Source organism: Homo sapiens, chromosome 1 (genome assembly GCF_000001405.40).
Source record: "Homo sapiens chromosome 1, GRCh38.p14 Primary Assembly".
NCBI lineage: Eukaryota > Metazoa > Chordata > Mammalia > Primates > Hominidae > Homo > Homo sapiens.
In genome coordinates, this window is record NC_000001.11 from 116308666 (window position 1) to 116330715 (window position 22050).

The 22050-nt window shown below is 42.1% G+C and overlaps 1 long non-coding RNA gene across 4 annotated transcripts in view; it reads right to left on the reverse strand.

The window, feature by feature from the left end:
- The window catches only part of LOC105378920 (uncharacterized), a 58385-nt gene that overhangs the window by 30732 nt on the left and 5603 nt on the right, over positions 1-22050 (reverse strand). For 3 of the 4 annotated variants that reach the window (XR_001738197.2, XR_947728.3, XR_947729.3), the window contains exon 3: positions 7018-7174. This is a non-coding gene — a long non-coding RNA (uncharacterized LOC105378920). Of the gene's footprint in view, positions 1-5854; positions 6128-7017; positions 7175-22050 lie in introns of those variants that run through there. The other variant, XR_947730.2, reaches the window with a different exon arrangement.

Consider the following 22050-nt stretch of genomic DNA (forward strand, 5'->3'; position numbering starts at 1 on the left):
GCCTTGGTTTTATGGTTCTTGGGCTTCTAAGTTTCAGAACTTAAGTTATTAATCATCTAGGTTACAAAAGACAAATGCATGGACATGAATAACTAAAAATACAATATTATAAATACTAAATAAGTGAAGAGGTAATTGAGAAGAGAAATACAGAGGACATATGACCTGAGCTAGGCTTTTGTTTTTTGTTTTTTGTTTTTTTTTTGAGACAGAGTCTCACTCTGTCACCCAGGATGGAGTGCAGTGGCATGATCTCAGCTTTCTGCAACCTCCACCTCCCAGGTTCAAGTGATTCTTGTGCCTCAGCCTCCCGAGTAGCTGGGATTACAGGCATGCACCACCATACCCGGCTAATTTTTGTATTTTTAATAGAGATGGGGTTTCACCATGTTGGCCAGGCTGGTCTTGAACTTCTGACCTCAGGTGATCGGCTCGCCTCAGGCTCCCAAAGTGCTAGGATTACAGGCATAAGCCACTATGCCCAGCAATTACATGAGCTAGGCTTTCAAGGCCATTGTAATCAAGGTGTGTGCCAGCTCATGCCTGAAGCTACCCATATGGAAATATCCCAATTCCGGTCCCCACTGAGAGAGTTGGATCCTTGTCCACCAGCCAAGATTGAGTAACCAGAGAGAGCGTCTGATCCAAGGGTGTGGTTCATACTTGGGCAGCCTGAGACCTACAACTTGGACCCACATAAAAAGATAATCTGCATCAACCAGATTCCCTTCTGGAATCTGAAATTGAAAAACCAAAATGAGAGAGCTGGCAGCACAGGCAGATGCTAAAAGACTTGCCTCCAGTATTACCTTAAGGTAACGGAGGAACCAGAGAGTCCAGGGCAAGCCAAAACCATAAGTAAGCCAAAGTCATGAGTAGATAGAACGAGCTGGTCAATAGAGGAGCAAACACTCCACATAAGTGACAATAGCATGAGAAAAATAGAGACCATTCAGCCAAAACAAGAGAGGTGGAGCAGCTAGTCCCTGGATCTGCCTTGCAACTTGATATCTTGCCAGCTCTGGTCTAAATCCAGGTATAGCCTTACAGCCACTCATTGAACTTCTTTTCCAGGTGACTGTTTGAGTGCTATTCCTTGCTAGCTAAGAGCTAAAGGAAATGGATTCGACTAGGCAGAGCAGAGGGAAAGAGAAATCCAGGAGCCCAGGTTAGTATGGATGGCAGCATAAAGATGAAATTTCTCATGGACTCCTCAGGGAAGGGTAGAAAGGAAATTATTTTAAGTAGGAGACAAAAGCTACTGGAGCACCTTAAATTTGTAGGCCAAAGTGGTATTTGGTGAATGAATGAATAAATGAATGCATGTGAGTTAAAGCCAAAAAGTAAACAACTTTAAATAACAGGATTGAGACTTCAGACTTGATATCATAGGCAATAGGAAACCACAGCAGTTTGGAACAGGAAGCAGGAGCCATCAATATAGTATTTTTAAAATAATGAATTTTTTGAAAGACATTCCATTTTCCAATGCTGAAGCATGCGTTGTCCCAGCCCCACAATGATGGAGTGAGCATGTAGGAGTAATGTTTGGCCGAGAGAGGAACATGAAAGCAGCCCACTGGTAAATGGAACTGCAAATTAGAATGGCCTGAGGGAGGCTTCCGTCCAGACAGCCCAGAAGCTGAGAAAGACAGCCAAAGATATCTCGCCTAGCATGCAGCTGTGGGAAATGCTGCAACTCTTTCTGACTGTCTGGAAACAGCTATAAGACCACGTGCAAACTCAAAATCAGTTCTAAATAGGCCATTATGACAAGGGCTGTCAGCCCCCTATGGACTTCCATGTAGCACCCAGATGTCACATGTAGACATGTGACAGCTGACTCCTCATTCTCTCCACCAGGCATTTGTAGTAGCTGTCTGTTCATGGCATGTCAACTTGGACACAGATCTCAGCAACTCTTTGAATGCCTCGCCAAGATCCACTCATAGAACATTAATGAACAGTGGAGAATCTCCTGACAGTTTCATGAGGGAGAGAGAAGAAGGACTCCACAGCAAATAATTAAAGAAAAAAAAAAGACCTACTAGACATACATGTTCTGCAAATTCCTCCACTGCTGGACAGCCACCAAGTGTTTCTTTATCAACCCACAATACAGTTTAAATAAAGGCCCACTCCTCCCCCAGCACAGTTTATAGGGCCCACACTCCTTACGATGACAATTGAGGTTATAAATAAAGCACCTTGTTGTTTTTGCACACACATAGCAATAAACATAGGGCTTAATAGCTCCCAACATGGCCCCAGCTATGTCTCCTTGGCCCCATCACTTTGCTCTCTGGCCTCTGTTTCTCATTCTGTAACACAAGAGGCAGAAGTGGGTCCATTTGGGTTAATCCCATCCACCATCCAGTTCTCAATTTGGACTTTACATAGTGGAGAGTGGTTTCCACCCTAAGCAGAGGGGTTTTCCTTCTGCAAAGAACAAAATGAAAGAACTAGGGATGAAGAAGCCACTATATAACCTAGGCATTTGGGCAAGTGGGGGTGGGGAAGCTGGAGAGGAGGGAGGCGGGGCAGGGTCCCAGTGGCAGGGAGGGTGAGCTGAGCACTGGCTGCCCCTCCGCGGGATACGCAGTGATGAGGCCTGCCGAATGCAGAGCATGGAGGAGAAATGGTTTTGTCTGTGCAGCCACCCACGCTCTGACTGCAGTAAGGGTCACACCGGGCTGATGATGACTTTTTGATGGAGTGGACGCAGCACCCTGCAGGGGCCAGCAGTCTTTGGAAGAGAAGCGCTCAGCAGAAAGCACATCCAGCTCACCAGTCTGCTCTTCCCTCTTCTGCTTTCTTTCTCTCCCCACCCTCAAACCCCATCTGGGCTCACTGCAACCTCTGCCTCCCAGGTTCAAGTAATTCTCCTGCCTCAACCTCCCAAGTAGCTGGGATTACAGGTGTGTGACACCACACCCGGCTAATTTTTGTATTTTTAGTAAACATGGGGTTTCACTATGTTGGCCAGGCTGGTCTTGAACTGCTGACCTCATGATCCGCCTGCCTTGGCCTCCCAAAGTGCTGGGATTACAGGCATGAGCCACCACGCCCGGCCTTCTCCTCTCTTTTTAAAGTGTCTCTTCTGGGTGCCGTTTTCATTCTAAGCTATCTATAGCGCCTCAGTAAGGGAGAAGGGGGGAAATCCAACAACAGCCGCAGCCACGTGGCCAGCTTCTGTGGGAACACCTGTGGATGTGTGCTGTTCTGGGCAAGAACAGAACAAAGTTGCTTTTATGTCCTTCTTTCTAAAAGCCTTGTGTGCTTTAGAAGCTGGTTATTATTGCATTATTAAAGCCTCAGTGAGCCGAGGCCAAGGCGAGGGTACTCTACAGCTGTCCCAGGCGGCTTCAGCCAGTGCATACTTCTCATCCTGTGACCTAGCCTGACTCCTGGTTGTCATCCCATTACACCCCAGTGAGAGGGGAGCACTGGGGGAGGACAGAGATGCCAGTCCCTAATTGAAGGTGCCCTGGGCTTCTCACCAAACTGGTCCATCCAGTTCTTAGGAATTATTCTGAGCATAATCCATTTTGCCAATATTGTGTTTCTTAAAGCACCAGCAGCGTAAAGTGAGGAAAAACTGTTGCATAAGGAAATTTCTGAAACCGGATTTCCCTGGGTTTCAGCAAGCACTTGTTCAGGAGAGGTTGGGAGGACCAAATGTTCAGCTTTGTGTGTGTCATGGTTGGGGGCCGTAGACTGGGGACAGCCTAGGGCATTGTTTGCTAAGGGCAAGTTTGCTCCAGTTAGTTACAGATTCCTAGTCACAACACCGTGAGCTTTGTCATCTATCCCAACCTCAACTTTCACAGAGGAGGAGAGGAAACGCACAGAGGCAAGGTGACTGGTCGAAGGTTGCACAGTGGATTGGTGTCCTGCTCAGATAACCGCAGCCTAGACACATGCTGAGCACACGTGGCATTCCTTCTCCAGGTCTGTAAGCACAGATGCCCTTCAAATGGCAGTGCCAGTTTAAGGCTAGTGTTTGGAAAGACAGGCCCCCAGAAGGCATGGACTGTATTTTTCCCTGGTCCTTATGGGACACTTCAGCAAGGTTCAAGCACACTTAGAAACTTATACCTACAGACAAACCCCAGAAAAAAGTAATCAGAGTCACATTCTCTAACCAGCTCCAGTACACTTATTTTCATGCAAATGTGGAGAAACAGCCCAGCCTAAGAGGGAGCAGCATAACAGAACAGCAGAATGAATGCCACCATAGAAGTTTGTGCAGCCCATGGAATCCATAAAAGGCCTGGCTGCGGGGCCCACCAGGGGCTGAAATCCGGCCTGCCCTCCACTAACTGGGCACTGCCCAGGCAAAATGCTCCTCATGTTTCTGGTCTCAGGTCAAGTTTACCCTTGAGTAGTAAAGCTTCCCTCTTTACTGGCCTTCCTCTGCACTTCCCCTTCTACCTCATTCCTGTCCTATCTTCTAAAAGCGTCCCTTAAAAAAAAATTATGTTTTTCTGTTTTACTTTTTAAGCTATAACCACCAAAGTAGTGATGAGCCCTTCATGCACTGCAGTGTTTGAAGCCACTGAGCACATCTTCAGGTCTATTTCACCTCTAAACATGGTCTTCCCATAGTGCATCTGGCTACCTCTGATCACATGCCACTTCCTCCAGGAAGCCTTCCCTGACCCTTCCCCCCTCCCCCACACATCCCACCCCAGTAAGTGAGGACTATCCCCCACCGCAACCTAGGCTAGGCATGCCCTATGGGAGCTCTGAATATGTTGTTGCAAAATGATCTATTTATAAGTTCATCTTCCCCTTAGATCTGCCCTGTTCAATGTGGTAGCCACTGACCACGCATGCCTACTGAGCACTTGAACTGTGTCTAGTCTGAATAGGGATGTGTTGTAAATATCAGATACATACTACATGTGAAATAGTATGAAAGAGATAATATAAAATACCTCAATGATCATGTTTCTCTTGATCATATGGTGGAATAATATTATAGGCTGGGTGTGGTGGCTCACACCTGTTATGATAGCACTTTGGGAGGCCTAGGTGCAGGAGGATCACTTGGAGTTTGAGACCAGCCTGGCGCAACACAAGGAGACCCTGTATCTAAAAAAAATTTTTTTTAATTAGCTGGGCATCATGGCAGGTGCCTATAGTCCTAGCTCCTCAGGAGGCTGAGGCAGGAGGATTGCCTGAGCCCAGAAGGTTGAGGCTGCAGTGAACGATGACTGAGCCACTGCACTCCAACCTGGGTAACAGAGTGAGACGCTGTCCCCAAAATAAGCAAATAAATAAATAAATACATATTTTTAAAAATTTAAAAAAGAGAAACAGAAAAAATAAAAATTAAACAAGATAATATTAGAGAAATATTGAGTTAAATATATGATTAAAATTAATTTCTTCTATTTCTTTTTTTAATGTGACTACTAGAAAAATGTAAATTACCTGTATGGTTTGTATCATATTTCTATTGGATATCTGCTTAGACTATAAGCCTCTAGAGGTCAGGGATCATATCTTACTCATCTTTGCCCTTCCAGCATCTAATACAGACACACATTTGGGTTCTAAGACAGCATATGTAACAATACAGGTGTCACCTTGTGTTGTCACTCTTGCTGCCCACCTGTCTGTCTCTACCAGGATGCTTTCCGCACCTTGGCACAAAGACTGTGCCTCACCTATCAAGTGCTTGGCAAGAGGCAGGTGCAGAATACATGTTAGAGAATGAAGGTAAAGTAAGTATCTGATCTAAATATTCAGGGAGAAAAAAACTTATGATTATTATTTTTAATAGAGATGGGGTCTTGCTATATTGCCCAGGCTGTTCTCAAACTCCTGACCCCAGGTGATCCCAAAGTGCTGGGATTACAAGCACGACCCGCAGTACCTGGCCAATTTTTTAAAAACTTAATCTTGCTTTAATTGTACTTGGGAACCATAGATGTGATATTGATATCTTACAGATAGAAGAACAAAGTGGCTGTAATACCCTGGGTGGGATCTTTCCAAGTTAAGACAAAGGAAGCGCCAGTACATCAGGAGACAGAGTGGCTGGGTTCCAAGGCCAGCAGGCTGTTACGCAAGGGGGAAAACTTCACACACAGTCAATAATTAGAAAAATGATTCTGGGCTGTGGAAACAAACACAGGACAAAGTATATAGAATACAGAGACTAATATTCACAACAATATCAATTAATAGCTTATCATACCCTCTTGAGTACTGATCAATTTGATGTGAATTTCAACTTTAAAAAATCTTAATTTTATTTTCTGAATATAGAAATAAAACTGGCTCGTTGTTTAAAAAAAAAAGGCCCTAATCTCACAATTATATAGAAATGTTTAAAGCAAAAAAAGTCCTTTGTGATACCACTCCAAATGATAATTCAATAACCACTAGTAATAGGTTGGTGTTCTTCCTTCTAGGTTTTTCCTTTATAAAAATTCTTTTCTCTTTATTTTTATATAAAAATAAGGTTATATCCTAAGTATCATCCTGCAACTTAACTTTTGAAACATATGAATATATTGTCAACATCATCCTATGTTAGTACCTATAGCCCTATCTCTTCTTTTAGCTGGAGCATAGCATTCCACTTAGGGAAATACTCCCATTATTGCTGGACATCAGCAATAAAGACAGGCACTTTTTTGTTATTATAAACAGACTGCAACCAACATCCTCGGACATGTCTTTGCAGCTTTTATGTTTCCATAGGAACAAAAATAGTTTCATTATGCCCTAATGAAGACAGTGAAGCAGATCAGAATTGGATCACCTATATTAAAAAAAGAAAAAACAGATTGCAGTGGGAAGGGAGAAAGGGGTTCGTGAAGATAATGGTAGATATTTGGGCTTTGCACATTTTTATAATAATGAAAGAAAAGTCCACTTAGCTTGCATCTCACCTTCTACCTCCATAATTCTAAAGTATTTTTTTAATTTAATTGGAATTAATTTCATCTAAAAATCTCAATTTTGGATTAACCTATGTGAAGTTCAAGAACATTCTCTTACCTGTATGCTGGTAAGAACTGCAATTGGATATATCCTTCTGTCTGGCATCCTCTGGGTCAGTTTCCACTTTTTCCTATTGAGGGACTTACAGGTTCTTTAGTTACACAGGTAACTGTGGTTTGAAATTTAAAACAACAGTATGTCTTTCATAATTCTCCTGAGAAAGAAAAATTCCAACAGTAAACAACGCCACTGGGGTTTCTCCTCCCCCACCAGCTGCATCAAAATGCTGTCCTGGCTTTGTCTTATACTAACAGGGTAGACCAGTCACTAATCTCTCTGAACACACGTCTCCCAACCTGTAAAATGGTTGCTACCTGCTTTGATTCATAACTGTCAAAATTAGAGATAATGTATGTAAAGTACTAGAACAAAGTACATGTTCTAATAATGGGAGCTATTATTTTCAATGGAAACTACTAGGATTAAATAGCCAGAGAAAGAGATAAAAGCAAAAGGTGGTAAGGAGAAAGGAAAATCCGAAGAACGTTTGTAGTAAATTTCAACATTTTTATTGCAGTAACTTTGATACGTGTTTTCTATGATGCTGGGAACTAACATCTCTTAAGCGAGCATTATCTGCCTGCTTCTGTACTAGGTATTTTACATATGTTGTCTTAATTCTAACAACAAATTTGTAAGGCAAGTAGTAGTGTCTTCCCATATTATAGATGAAAAAACTGAGACTCAGAATGTGTAAGTGGCCTTCTCAGATTCATCAATGTGGTAAGTAACAAAATTGGTATTAAAACTCAAATCAGTTCCAAACCTGTGCTTGTCTACTTATCAGGCTGTGACTACTGCAGCAGGCCTCATGATGCCTTCACGGTTTCTTATCTCCTGCACATTTTTCTCCACCTGGTCTCACTCTGATCACAATGGCAGATCCAGGGCCTCCCTCTTCCACTGACAGAAAATCAGTGCAAACTGACTCACGCACACCAAGGACAAAATGTGTTCATGGTCATGACAAGTCTAAAGGTAGACTTTGGCCTCAGGCTTGGCTGCACTCAGGGGCTCTATCTTCCCCATCTTTCAGTGCAACTTTCCTCTGAGTTCTGACTGGCTTTAATTTCACAGGGCTCTCTCCTCTGGATAGAAACCTTACGACCCATGACCCCGGGGGTAGGGAGAGGAGCACCCTTTCTTTCTCCCAGGGTCTATTTTAACCATATCAAATCTTAGTGAAAATCCACATGCCTATTTCTCAACCAATCACTGTGGCTTGAGGGGTGCCACGTCCTGCTGGCCAGGCCTCCCTCTCCAGCCCACTCCTGTGACAGGTTCAGCCTTACCTGAATCACAAGGAATGATGCCCCGTAGAACAGAGCAAAAAGGAAGAGCAAAAGAAGTCCTCAATAGAACAAAGCCACAGATAACCTCTGCAGAGTTCTTGTTGCTTTTTACTCAGCAACACCTCTCATAAACCCAGACTTTTGCCTTAGAAAAGCTCCTACTTTAGCTCCATAGGGACTGATTTCATAACTGCTTCTTTTTTGCATGTATTTCTTCCATCATTATGTACTATCTCTATGTGATGTCTAAAAATACCAAGTGGACATGGTATATCCTGCTCCTTCTTCCTGCCCAAGTTAGCAAAATAGCTCTGTAATTTTCAATGCTTTTGGCTACAATTTACAGAAAATGTAAATTTTCATTTACAAATGAAAATGATCAAAATGGCTTCGACAATGAGGAAAATGTCATTTTACACACGTTAAGAAGTCCCAAGGTAGAGCAGCTCCAGGGTTGACTGAGTCTCCGTGATTGAGGCTCTTTCCATTTTTCCTCTCTGCCATCCTCATTGTGGCAGCATTGTCCTCAGTGTGCTCCCCTCAAGACTGCAGGATGGACACAGCGTCCTGGGCACCACCGCTAGCCTGCAGTGGTCAGGGGAGAGCCAGTGAAGCTGGCAAGGAAGGGAGAACCTAATCAAGGCCAGTTCAGAGGATTTAAGTGGCAACAAAGTATAGGGTGGACTAGGGGAGCGAGATCCGGATTCTGAGAGCTTGATTAAAAGGCTGTTGTAATAGGGCAGAAATGCAAATATGGAGACTGAAGAAAGAATGGAAAGCAGGAGACACAGATGGGACTCATTGCCCTAAGAGTCTGAGTTCTATAGAGAGTCAAACACCGAACTGACTTGATTAAAAAATCAGATTTCAGAATACTTAAAAAAAAACTTTTTATTACTTTTCTTCAAGCTCATATCGTAAAACACACCATTAGGATAAATTGGAAACGGGACCCCAGGACAATGGCTGTCCGTGTGGGATCTGAACCACCATGAGAATTTTACTTTTATTTGTATTTATTTATTTATTTTTGAGATGGAGTCTCGCTCTGTCACCAGGCTAGTGCTCAGTGGCACCATCTCAGGTCACTGCAACCTCTGCCTCCCGGATTCAAGTGATTCTCCTGCCTCAGCCTCCTGAGTAGCTGAGATTACAGACACGCACCACTATGCCTGACACATTTTTGTATTTTTAGTAGAGATGGGGTTTCACTATGTTGGCCAGGCTGGTCTTGAAGTCCACCTCGGCCTCCCAAAGTGCTGGGATTACAGGTGTGAGCCACCACATCTGGCTGAGAATTTTACTTTTAATAAGATGTTCTCTCTTTGTTCACCAGACTGTCTCTAATATTAGTTGATGTGTACAGAACATAAATATTTGTTAGGATGCAATAGTCCAAATTTAGATGCAAATATTATGTTTAAATTGTAACAAAGTGATTGCTTTTTAGTGACATCATTTCAAGGAATTGGTAACTTGGTTTTTCATTGGTGTCTTGGCCCATGAAGGATGAGCTTCAGTGGACAGAAGACATGATGACACCCAGTTAGCACCACAAGGCCCTCTCTCCCAGGCAGTCCAATGTAGCAGGACGCCTACTCTAGTGCACGCTACTGCAGTTACCTCTGCTGGAAACTGCTGGTGAAACCACTGACCTGACCTGGACTAAGCACCTGAGACTTCTTGCTTCTCAGTTTATCCAGACAACAGCCTCAACTCTGCCCTTGCAGTTGCATGCTACATTCTGTCCAGAATGTTGAGAGCTATAGCTCTTTCTCTTCCATGGACTAGAGACCTCCCTTTCACCATGAGGTCAATGAAGCTTAACCTCAGGACCTGTCCCTTGCATTGGCCCCTTCCAGGGCCCTGGAGGAGTCTTGCCAATGTGTTTACATGGTCACCTGTCACTGTAAAATTTGCAAAGCTGATAAGGCTTTGCGATTTAGAATGCGGCCTCTTTCACTCGGATTCCCACTCCCTCACATAACTCTTTGGGTGGGGCAGCATTGGAGGGGGCTGCAGGCATTTCTGGAATGCAGTTAAGGGAAAGATGAATGAGTGACAAGTTTAGCTTGTGTTCATGAAGATATATATTTGTGTAGGTCACAGCCACCTCTACGCATAGTTATGTTACTGCCAGCCATTCCAGAGCACAAATGGCTTTCTGAAATACTCCCTGTCACCGCTGTGCTGACGCACCCACTGCTTAGTATCAGATGCGAGGCTGGAGGTCATGGGGAAATGAGAACGTGTCCTTCAGCTCCCAGCACCGGTTACAGATGGAAAGTGGAGGAGAAATAAAGTCTGAAATGTATCAAGCCAAAGATTGTATATAGAGAATTCTTTCAAACAGCAGATGTGGAAAGTTGTAAGTGGAAGATTCAGTTCTCACAACACCTCATCAGACTGCAAACTCTCTCTTATCATAAAGATGCCTGAAAATGTAGTGTATACAATTACAAAAAAATTAGCCCCTTTTGCTGTTATTTTGAATGAGAGTTTTGAGAAATAGTTTATGAGAATTCCTACGTTTGTAGCACATGTGCTCTGAGCAGAATGGCAGAGTACATGCCCTATAAACCTGTGTACCTACATATATGGAACAGTTAATATATGACAAAAATGATAGACTTTTTTTCAAATTTGAAAACAATCATAAAAATTTTCGGCCAGGCGCGGTGGCTCACGCCTGTAATCCCAGCACTTTGGGAGGCCGAGGCGGGCGGATCACAAGGTCAGGAGATGGAGACCATCCTGGCTAACACGGTGAAACCCCGTCTCTACTAAAAATACAAAAAAATTAGCCAGGCGTGGTGGCGGGCGCCTGTAGTCCCAGCTACTCTGGAGGCTGAGGCAGGAGAATGGTGTGAACCCGGGAGGCGGAGCTTGCAGTGAGCCGAGATCGCGCCACTGCACTCCAGCCTGGGGGACAGAGCGAGACTCCGTCCCAAAAAAAAAAAAAAAAAATTTTTTTCATGACATTCCCAATTACAAGTTGGAAAGCTAAAAGACAATTTTTTAGAAGTATCAGTAATAAAAAAAATTTGTGATCAACCATTCCAGAGAAAATGTTAAATTATCTTTCTCTTCTCTTTAGGTAGTGACATCTCAAAATTATAATAAAGAAGTAATCAAAGAGTTTGCAACCCAAAGATGTTTTTTAAAAAGGTTTTTGGAGCAGTGGCAGGGAGCTAATAAAAATATTTCGCTATTTTTCTGGATTTGTGATATTTGTGCCAACACGTTAAAATTTTTAATTTCTTGTGATTCTCTCAATCTAATAAGGCCAGATATGGTGGCTCAATACCCATAATCCCAGCACTTTGGGAGGCTGAGGCAGGAGAATTGCTTGAGGCCAGGAGTTCAAGACAAGCCTGGGCAACATAGCAAGACCCTGTCTCTACAAAAACATTTAAAATTAGCAAAGCATGGTGGCACATGCCTGTGGACTCAGCATCTTGGAAGGCTGAAGTGTAGGATCCGTTGAGCCCAGGAATTTGAGGCTGCAGTGAGCTCTGATTGTGCTACTGCACTCGAACCTGGGAGACAGAAGGAGACCGTCTCTTAAAAAAAAAAAATTAAAACAGATAAACATTCATATTTGTACCTAATTCTTAACTTATAATTTTGGTTCTTTTTTTGACAGAGGAAACTCCAAATTTAAAAAGCTTCAGGCCCCCAATAAAACCTGGATCCACTGTTGGTCGAGGGAGAAAGGGAGGCAATATTCAAGTTCTCATAACTGGTGAGTCTGTGTTTCTGTAGAAGTTCCCGTTACAAGGAAACAGGAATTAGTCCTTCAGAACTGAAAAACTGATCTTTAATCAAGCCAACAAAGGAGTCAGCCTGAATGGTGGCAGACACGAATTTTTGGTTTTTTTTTGTTTTTCCAGCAGATTGAGAGAACTTGGACAAGTTATTTATCCTTGAAAATCAGTCTCATCACTGGTAAAACGAGGTTTTGGGGTTAGATGAACTGAAAGTTCCCTTTTAGTGCTATGTTTTTTATTTTCACAGCTAAGTGTTGCTATGTCAAGGTATTCCATTACTTACTATGGAGAACACAGAAGAATGACTCATGAATTTTTAATTTGTAAATGACTGCTGCTAAGTTTATGAAACCCTATCATTCTCATAAGTAGGTTATACATATTCCTCATATATTATTTCACATCATTCAATTATTTAACAAATCCTTTTTTTCATAACAGGGCAAAGGTACACTTTTGTGCTGCTTCCTCTAAGTAGTCGGGAACTCTGCAGCAGTGGAATCCAAAGCAATTAAGCTTCCCTGTTACAACTGTACCACCACCTTCATTTCTGCATGCCTCTTAATTTTTGAGCTACCTTATTATATATGTGATCCTATTTTATCTCCACCACATTCTTAGGCGGTAAATGGAGCAGGGATAATAATCTCTATTTAATGGATTTCAAAACAGATGAAAAAGCGTTAAATGAGTTTTCTATGAGTTTTAGTTGGGTAGAAACAAAAACAATTGGAATATGGGTCTTCAGATGCCCACTCCCACTATGAAGGTCAGCATATAGAAATGTGTCTAGCATGGAAAGGTGAACACTCTGGTTATCACCAGTTACTGGCAAATATTAGCTAAAGCCCTAGGACTACATGAAATGGGGAAATAGGTGGGAGCATAACGCACAGGAAAGATGAGGACCCCATTCAGCCATTGCTGGGAACAGATCTGAAATTCATGTTCAATATTAAAAGAAAGCCAATTGAGAGTGGCCAGTCCCTGCAGGAAAATGAAACCTGGTCCTGTCAGCTCCTGCCAGCTTCAGTGCACAGCTAAATGTGCTTGCTGAGTGACTAGTAACCACCAGCTAGCCCAGAGACTATGGAGCACAGATAACACATCTAGGCAAAGACTGGCTGGCTAGTGTCGCCTCAGCCACACTGATCTGTTCTCCAATGAATGTTTGCTATTGGGCAGTTTATTCCAAGTATAGTTAGAGAGGCCAGAGGGGCCATGGGAAGAGGCCACATGCACATCCGCACCTGTGCCTCTCAGTGTGTCCCTGCCTGCGCAGGAGCCTGTTCAAATATTGATCAAAAGCAGCTTTGTCACAGGCGCTGGAAATGGGAGCTCCTTCTGAAACACGGACCCACTTAACCAGAAAAGGAGTGGTGTTTCTAAGAACTGTCACTTTGAGAATTCAGCTTGGAAGGTAGGACAGCTCACAGATGTTGTATAAGATCCTTGAATATGAATTTGGTGACTAGCTGTCTTGCAATATTTGCCAGCTATTTCCTTTCATATACATATTTATTTCTTTTCTTTTATATATTTATTTCAGATATATTTTCCTTTCATATGCATATATACATACACAGATATACACATATGCTCACGTATATATACACGCACACATAAATATGTTTGAAACCTCACTGAGAGAAACATCCAGAACACATTTTAGACATAAGGTGACATGGCATTCAGCTCTGAGCCCAAGTATATGTCAGCTGAGGCCTGCTATGGTCAGGACTCCCTTGCTGATGAGGTCTGTCCAGCATAGCAGTCCACACTGTCCTCCACAACGACACCAGACCACCAGAGACACTTGAAGTCACCAGTGCAATCAAAATTTCAGTCCTCATTAGCACAATAAAATTCAAATGTAGTTAAAGTGAAAACTACAGCATCCAATTGCTGATTCTGACTTCTCAGAGATTTTAATGGAGAAAAACACATCTTGGTTTTATTATCTGCCCGAAAACTGATTTTTAAAGTCTCTTCCTGCCTTACATTTAACACCTCTGGTAAAATTATATTGTTTAGAGTTCCTTGCACATCTATGCTATTTCATGCCCTTTGCCAAAGATAATTTACAACTATGAGAAAGGGATGGAGTAGGAAGAGATGACTCCCGCTTAATGAATGCTGTCTGAATGCCAGGGTCTGTACAATGCATGTGTCTTTTATACCTCCAATATTAGAATGCCCACTTCCCAGATGAATAAACTGAGAATCCTAAAGGTTAAGCAATTCACCTGAAGTTACACAGGGAGTTAATTCTTGTCTGCTCAACCCCTAAGACTTATCTCCAAGGGCCAAATCTGTGAGCTGTGTTTATGACAACTAACAATTTGTCAAACCCTGGGGGTTCTTTGGCCCTTTGCAAGCGAAATCAGTCTGCATTTGCAGGTTGCTCAAATGTTCACAAGTCCGACATTTCACCACAGAAGGCAGACTCATAAAATATTTTATGCAGTAAAACTGCTGATAAAGGCTTATCTTCTAGATAGGACCCAAAGAACAGACAGTTCATTATTTTTCTAACTGTTCCTTTATGTTAATGAACCTTGGTCAATGTTCCAGTAGTGGCATAAAAAATCTGGGAATGTAAATAAAAGACTTGGCCCTTTTCCTTGATTGTAGGTTTGTCATTTAACTTTGCTATGTTCTACTTTCCTTGTCTATAAAACAGGTACAATAATCATGCTGAAGGTATGATGAGACTATATATATGAAAGCTCTTAGAAAATGGTATTCAGGCTATTCAGGTATCTTGGCTTTCATCTACTAAATACAGACATGGTGTGAAATAGACACATACTTGTACAATAATAGCTGATGTTGACATTGACTGTTTACTGTGTACAGACGCTGTGCTAAGTGCCTACAGTCACCATTTCATTTCATCCTTTCAACACTGTGGGATAGGTATTGGTGTTATTCCCATTTCACAAGTGGGAAAAAGCAAGGCATGGAAAGATAAGTAACTCTCCAAGTCATACAGTGGGAAAAGGTGGAGTCAGGTGGAATTTCAACCCAGGAGGCTTCTTTTCAGAGCCTGTGCTGTTAACTGCTATCTTATACTGCCTCCCATATATAAGTACAGTCATATGTCACTTAACGCTGGGGATACATTCTGAGAAATGTGTACTGAAGCAATTTAGTCCTTGAACAAACATCATAGAGTGTACTTACACAAACATAGATGGTATATATGTTTTTATTTATATATGTTTTCATATGGAAAACCAAATGTCCCAGCACAATTGCTGAATATCAGTCATTTCCCCTGCTTGAGCTGCAATGCCAGTATCAAGTCCCATATATCAGATTTCTACATATGCTCCCTTATAATCTTATGGGACCATCATATATATATATATATATATATATATGTGTGTGTGTGTGTGTGTGTGTGTGTGTGTATATGTATATATGTGTATATATATACATATATGTATATATATACACACACACACACATATATATATATAGTGCATGACTGTATAATAAAATGACACTGGACTTTAGGAGGCTGAGGCAAGCAGATTGCCTGAGCTCAGGAGTTTCAGACCAGCCTGGGCAACATGGCAAAACCCCGTTTCTACTAAAATACAAAAGAAATTAGCTGGGCATGGTGGCACGCCTGTAATCCCAACTACTCGGGAGGCTGAGGCAGGAGAATTGCTTGAGCCCAGGAGGCAGAGGTTGCAGTGAGCTGAGATGGTGCCACTGCGCACTAGTCTGGTGACAGAGCGAGACTCAGTCTCTACATAAAAAAAAAAAGATATTGGAAGGCTTATATAAACAATTAGGTTTATTATCAAAAGATAAGCATTTAGCCTACACACTCCAGCCAGAAGAGTCCAATACAAACAAATAGCTCACTATGTTGGCACCCTGGAAGAGAGCCTCATTAGTCCCCAGCACCAATGGATAATGTCTCAGTTCTTGGTGTTTCCTGACCAGTCTCTTCCTATTGCTTCTCCTGAACCACCATCACGCTCTGGCCTTTCCTTCTGCTGAAATTCAGTGACTTTCAATACCTATTCACATTGCTCTTCCTGCCTGACTGCCAGGAAGCCTTCTCAAACTCCAAGGCTGGCCTGCCTTTCCACTTTGCTCTGGCCCTTAGAACACCCTGAGCTTCCCTCTGTCCCAGGAGAACCCCTTTACTCCTGGATCTGTTTCCTGTCATATGCACCTCAAGGGCTGTACTGCGTTTTCCTCATCTTTGTATCATCAGGATTTCATGAGGCCCACATTTAAGTTTCTCAAGTAGTAAGTCTCTAAAAATTGCTAGACAATGGCATCTTGGATTGAATCCAGGAACAGATGAAGGACATTCTTGTGGAAAAACAGGTAAAATCTGAATAAAATCTGAAGTTTAGTTAATAGTATTGTGCCAGCATTGATCTCCTAGTTTTGATAAATGTACCATAGTTATGTAAGTTGTTAACATTAGAGGAAGCTGAATGAAGAGTATATGAAAACTTTCTGTATCATCTTTGCAACGTTTCTGTCAATCTACAACTATTTTGAAATAAAAAGTTCAAAAGTCCATCATTAGACAGCTTTGTAGCACAGTGGTTAAGGCCATCTTTTTGGAGTCAGGCAGACCTAAGTCACCTACTACACGTACTGTGTGGTCTGAGGCAAAGCAAAGCATACAGTATCTCCCAACCTCATTGTTAAATGGCCTGACACAGTAGAAACATTCAGTAATTGGTAATTGCTTTTGTTAAAATAAATGTTATATTCATAATAATATAGTATTATTTCTATAATAATTTAGCGAGGATATGGTCTGATCTTTCTTTTTTAAACTTAGCTCACACTGCACACCAGCATCCCACATCTGCCTCTCTGCTCAACAGATAGCATTCTCAATGTGCTAGGCTCTATTCCGACACTGGAAGTACAACAGTGAACAAAGCACAAAAAATCCCTGCTGTAAACAGCTTACCTTCTAGTGGAAAGAGACAGGCAATAGACATAAAATTTATAATACACTGGTTCTCAAAGTGAGTTCCCAGACCAGCAGCATCAGAATCACCTGGGAACTTTTTAGAAATGCAAATTCTTGGGCCTAACCCTAGATCTACTGAATCAGAAATCTGGGGATGGGCTCAGCAGACTGTTTTAATAAGCCCTCTAGGTGATTCTGATAAGTACTCAGGTTTAAGAAACACTGATACAGTGTCAGTGATAATCACTATTTTGGAGAGAACTAAAGCAGGAAATGGGTGGAGTGCTGGGGTGAGGAGACAGATTGTGGCTTTCAACAGGGTGATCAGAAAAGCCTTACTTCAAAGGTAACACCTGCTTGAAAACATCAAGATGAGGAAGTGGGCCTCCAAAATATCAAGGGAAGAGTGTTTCTGGGAAAGGAATATCAAACGCAAAGGCACTGAGTCAGGAGCAGGCCTGAGCTGTTCAAAGAAGAGCAGCTGTCCTGGGAGAGGTGGTGGGGCTCCAGGTTGCGTAGGGACTGGTAAGCCATTGCCCAAGAGTGTGACAGTCACACAGTCAATCATGGTTCTGCCAAAAACACTCTGCCTTTTCCTGTATGGCTCCAGGCCCTCCTCTACCCCCAAATCCACCCACCCTGCCTACCCTTCGTGGCTCTAGCCAGTTCCTTCTCTTCCTTGGGCTTCTCCATCCCCAACTTCTGATAAATAATTTGATAAATAGTTTGCTTGTTTTTGCCCTGTTGGACTGCTTAGTCTGAAAGAGAAACTCAGTCTTTTCCCTTCTTTCTTCACACTGCCTATCACAATGCCTGTGCATTGTGTCTGCCCCATAAATATTTACTAAGCTTCTCTTAAGGTGCCAGGATAGAAACCAACACATATTGGCACACAATAAACATTATTAATGCTGCCAATAATTTTGAAATTTCCTCTGTCACAGGGCACACAGGTTCATTCTCAAAGCCAAAGTATTTTGGATTCAGTTGAAGGATTAACCCAGAGTGTGACTTACAACCGGGAGAGGCACTCCCTATTCCCAGCTGCTCTCCCTTTGTGCCTGAATAGTTCTGGTTGGCTACAGCTCTGAGTATTGACAAAGAGCATCATCAATGTACTGCTAACCTTGGGCCAAAATACACCAAGCAGACAGGTAGCATGAAAAAAAAAAAATGGGTATTATGATCAGTCAGAGCTGGGTTTGAATTCAAGCCCAACCACCCATAGGGGATCTTACCCTTTTTTTTTTTTTTTTTCTAATATTGTAAATCCCTTTAGCAACTGAGATTGAAGCGTATGGACCATTTCCCAGTATGAGGCTTTTAAATGCATAAAATAAAGTGTATAAGATTACAGAGTAGATAATTTTTATTGAGATATAATAATGTTAAAAGCTATCAGAACACTTATAAAAATTGTGCTATAGTAATATTTCTACCTCATTATTGGTGCATTAAGTAATAAGATTTAGAGGCAGGTTTAATAAGTACCAAAATGTTGATGTAATACTGAGTGTAAATGATATTTCAAGATACTTAGAGTGTATGATGTTGTTAGAGGTAGGTGGAAGAAAAAAAGATTTTTTTCATCTTGTATCATCCTGAATTCTCTGCAAAGACCTGTTAATAACCCCATATTATAACTTGGGACAAACTACTTTGCTTCTCTAAGTTTCAATATCCTTACCTGTAAAATGATGCTCAATAGATGGCAGGTATTATTATTATTATTTTCAGCAGCAGTGTTAGTAGTTAAGGATACCCCATAAATATCCTGTAACATACTCTGTGTCACTTCTTGGTTATTAGCAGGGTCAGTTCTGTAAGTTGACTCAGTAGGAGGTCATCCTTTTGAGGATTTTTACTCCCCAAATGTCCCATATTGGCCTGAAATTTTATCTTTAGAAAAGAATGCATAGCTTTGGTAATGAAAGACTTTCAATTGCAAGAGACCCCTAATAAAAAATAAGAATTCCTGACAATCACCCTAAACCCTAGTCACACCCCACATAGTCCTAAGTTGGAAAGTGAAATATTTGCTAACCCAGGAGAAAAGATGAATGGCTTTAAAATAAAAAAGATGATATATACTTGGGACAATCTGCCCCCAATTCACTCTTTTCCCAGAGGACACTTTAAGGAGATGTAATTGTTTGCCAAACAAGATCATACCTTGTCTATAGTCATGGTCTCAAAGAGGATTTTCCTAAAGTTCAGTGGTGTATTTGGTTATAATTTGCCTGTGCCTATATAACCCATATATACCAGTTCATTCTTCAACTAAATTCCATCTTAAAATCATATCTTGACTATCTCTAAGTGACATTAAGTTGGTTTTCAAGCACTTGAGAGAAAAGTCCTTTCCTGAGGACCACCATTCCAAAATTGCTCTCTTCATGCTCCATGCAGTTTCTTCAAGCTGTGTGATACAATGCCCCCCAAACTTCAGTGTGCCTCAGAATCACCTGGAGAAACCATTCAGATTGCTGGAGGAACCCACAGAGATTCTCATTCAGAGGCCTGGGAGAAGGCCTGAAAATTTGCATTTTTAATAAGCTCCCTGGTTTCTTTACCTCTATGAGCCCAGTTTCCTTATTATTAAACCAGGATAATGATACCTTTTTTACAGGATTAATGAGCAGATGAGAAAAAGATAAGATATGTAAATATATTCAAAATACTAAGTCCCCAGCAGAAATGCAATAACTATTAATTCCCATGATGGGACATCGTTAGAGAGAGAAGGGGATATGTCAGAGAAAGCATTAAAGAGGACACGAGAGCAGTCTTGAAGCAATGGAAATTAGTAAAAGAGAAGAAAGCGAAGGGTGTTCCCAGAATTTAAAAAAACAAAACAAAACCGTATGCAGAGGCTGTGTGTACAAAAAAAAATAGCTAACTCAGAAAGCTGCCAAAGCTACCCTTGGCTGAAGCAAGTGCATGGATCATATGAACATACTCAGGGTCTTGATGACAAGGGCCCTTTGTGCCATGCTAAAAAGTTTCAATTCAATTCTGAAGGAGATAGGAATGGTTGACGTTTTTTAAACAGGTCAGTAACATGAAATGGGGACAAAGGAAGAGGAAGGGCTCTAGGCTGATGCCTAAGTTTCTGTCTTGAGTTTACATGTATGTGATGATGATGATGATGCAACCCACCAGAAGAAGTGCCACAGAAGAAAAACCTAGTTGGGGAAGAAGGTAATGAGTTAAATTCTCGATGTCTAATTCAAGGCACCTAGAAGACACCCACATAGAGCTAACAAGGGGTAGTGAGACATGTGAATCTATATGTCTTAGAGAAATCTTGAAGCCTGAGTCTAGAAGACCTCAGCATATAGGTGGAAGTTACATCCACAGGAATAGATGAAATCGCCCATGGAGGATGTAGTACGAGAGACGCCTTAAGGACAGAACTCTGGAGGACAACGTTTAAGAGCAATTTCCAATGGAGTTGAAGTCAAGGTTCATGACAGAGGGCAGGTCCCCCTGTTTACCAGTCTGATAATATCTACACACAGTGAATTCTGGTTTAAATGGACATCAAGGTCAGCCTTGGTCAGTGGTACTCACAAAATCCAACACAACACTTAGGTGGTAGAAGCAATGCAAGGAAACATCACTAATAGGCCATAGACAGGAATATGCTTGCCGGTAATAATTGGGGGTGAGTGTGATCCCCAGCACTGCCCCTCCAAATTCCTCAGTTGCCACAGTTCCTAGATGAGGGAGTCCCAAAGCAATTACCCCGATTGCTCATCTTGTAGAGAGAGTCTCTTCATTAATTTTTGCATGAGTGAGATCCCAAGATTTATCATAGCTCAGAAATAATCCACAGGAAGAAAGACATCATCCGCCACAAGTCATCAAAAACTAAATGCTGTCCACTTTCCTCTTCCTTAGGATAAACAAGACACTGACATGGCACTGACATGGATCCTGTTCATACTGCCAAGGCTATCATCTGTGTTTGGCCAAACCACCACAAACAAGCAGGATCCCACACCAGGCAGCCCCAGGGCACTCGCTGTTCCTGCCACAGGCTTCAGAAGCATCTCACCCACAAGGGCACCATTCAGAAGCAGGCTGTGTGAGCCCGGGGTAGAGTAAGACAAACAATGGCAGAAAAGTAGAAGGGAGTCTGGGCTCATTCTCTGTGGGACAGGACAAGAGAGGAGCAATGGGGGCATTCACAGGGAGAAGGAAATGCTCTGCCTTCAGGGGTGGTGAGTTGGGGGCGTCACGATTAGACCAGAAGGAAACTCAATGTTTATAAAAATCCAAACCTACAGATTAATTAGGGAGCAATTTCAAAAGTAGTTTTTTTCCTCCCCTTAAAGAATGAATTTATGCACTCATGCATGAAAATACTTTCTCATTTCAGGGAGTATATCATGCAAAAGATGAGGCACACCTGCATCTGGGCCTGGGGATCTCCAAGTAATTAACAATCCGTTGTTATCTTCAAAGATGTTTTCTTAGGAAGAAAACCTGGGCCCTAAGCCTTGAGAGAACGTAGCCCCTATCCTGATTTCACAAGAATTGGGGCTAAGGGCTGGAGGCTTGAGAACCGGACCGAGGCTTTGACAGGATTGTCACAGGCTAGGAAAACACAGGAAATGTTTAATCAGAAGGAATGAAAACACAGTGTACAAAGAGAAATCTGATCTCCATAGCCTATCTTTATTATGGCTAAGCGGTGTGGGGAGGGGAGAAGTGAATCTAAAACCACCAGACTGTTGAAACAGAACTGTTAATGGGGCAAAAAGCCTGCCTCAAGACAAAAATGGGTTGTCCAGCTCTCGGTAAACACCTGTGCCAGCTGGGAGCCGTGGTATTCAGGCTCGTAAGTACCTCAGACTGGAACATACTATTCTCACAGTCTGCACCTGTGAACTTTCTAGAGGGATTTGTTCCAGTTTGTGATTACTCCTTGGAATGTGAAGCCTTTCACTCTGGACCTATACAGGCCATCTCCCAAGGTAGTGTCCCATTAAAAAAGAAGGGA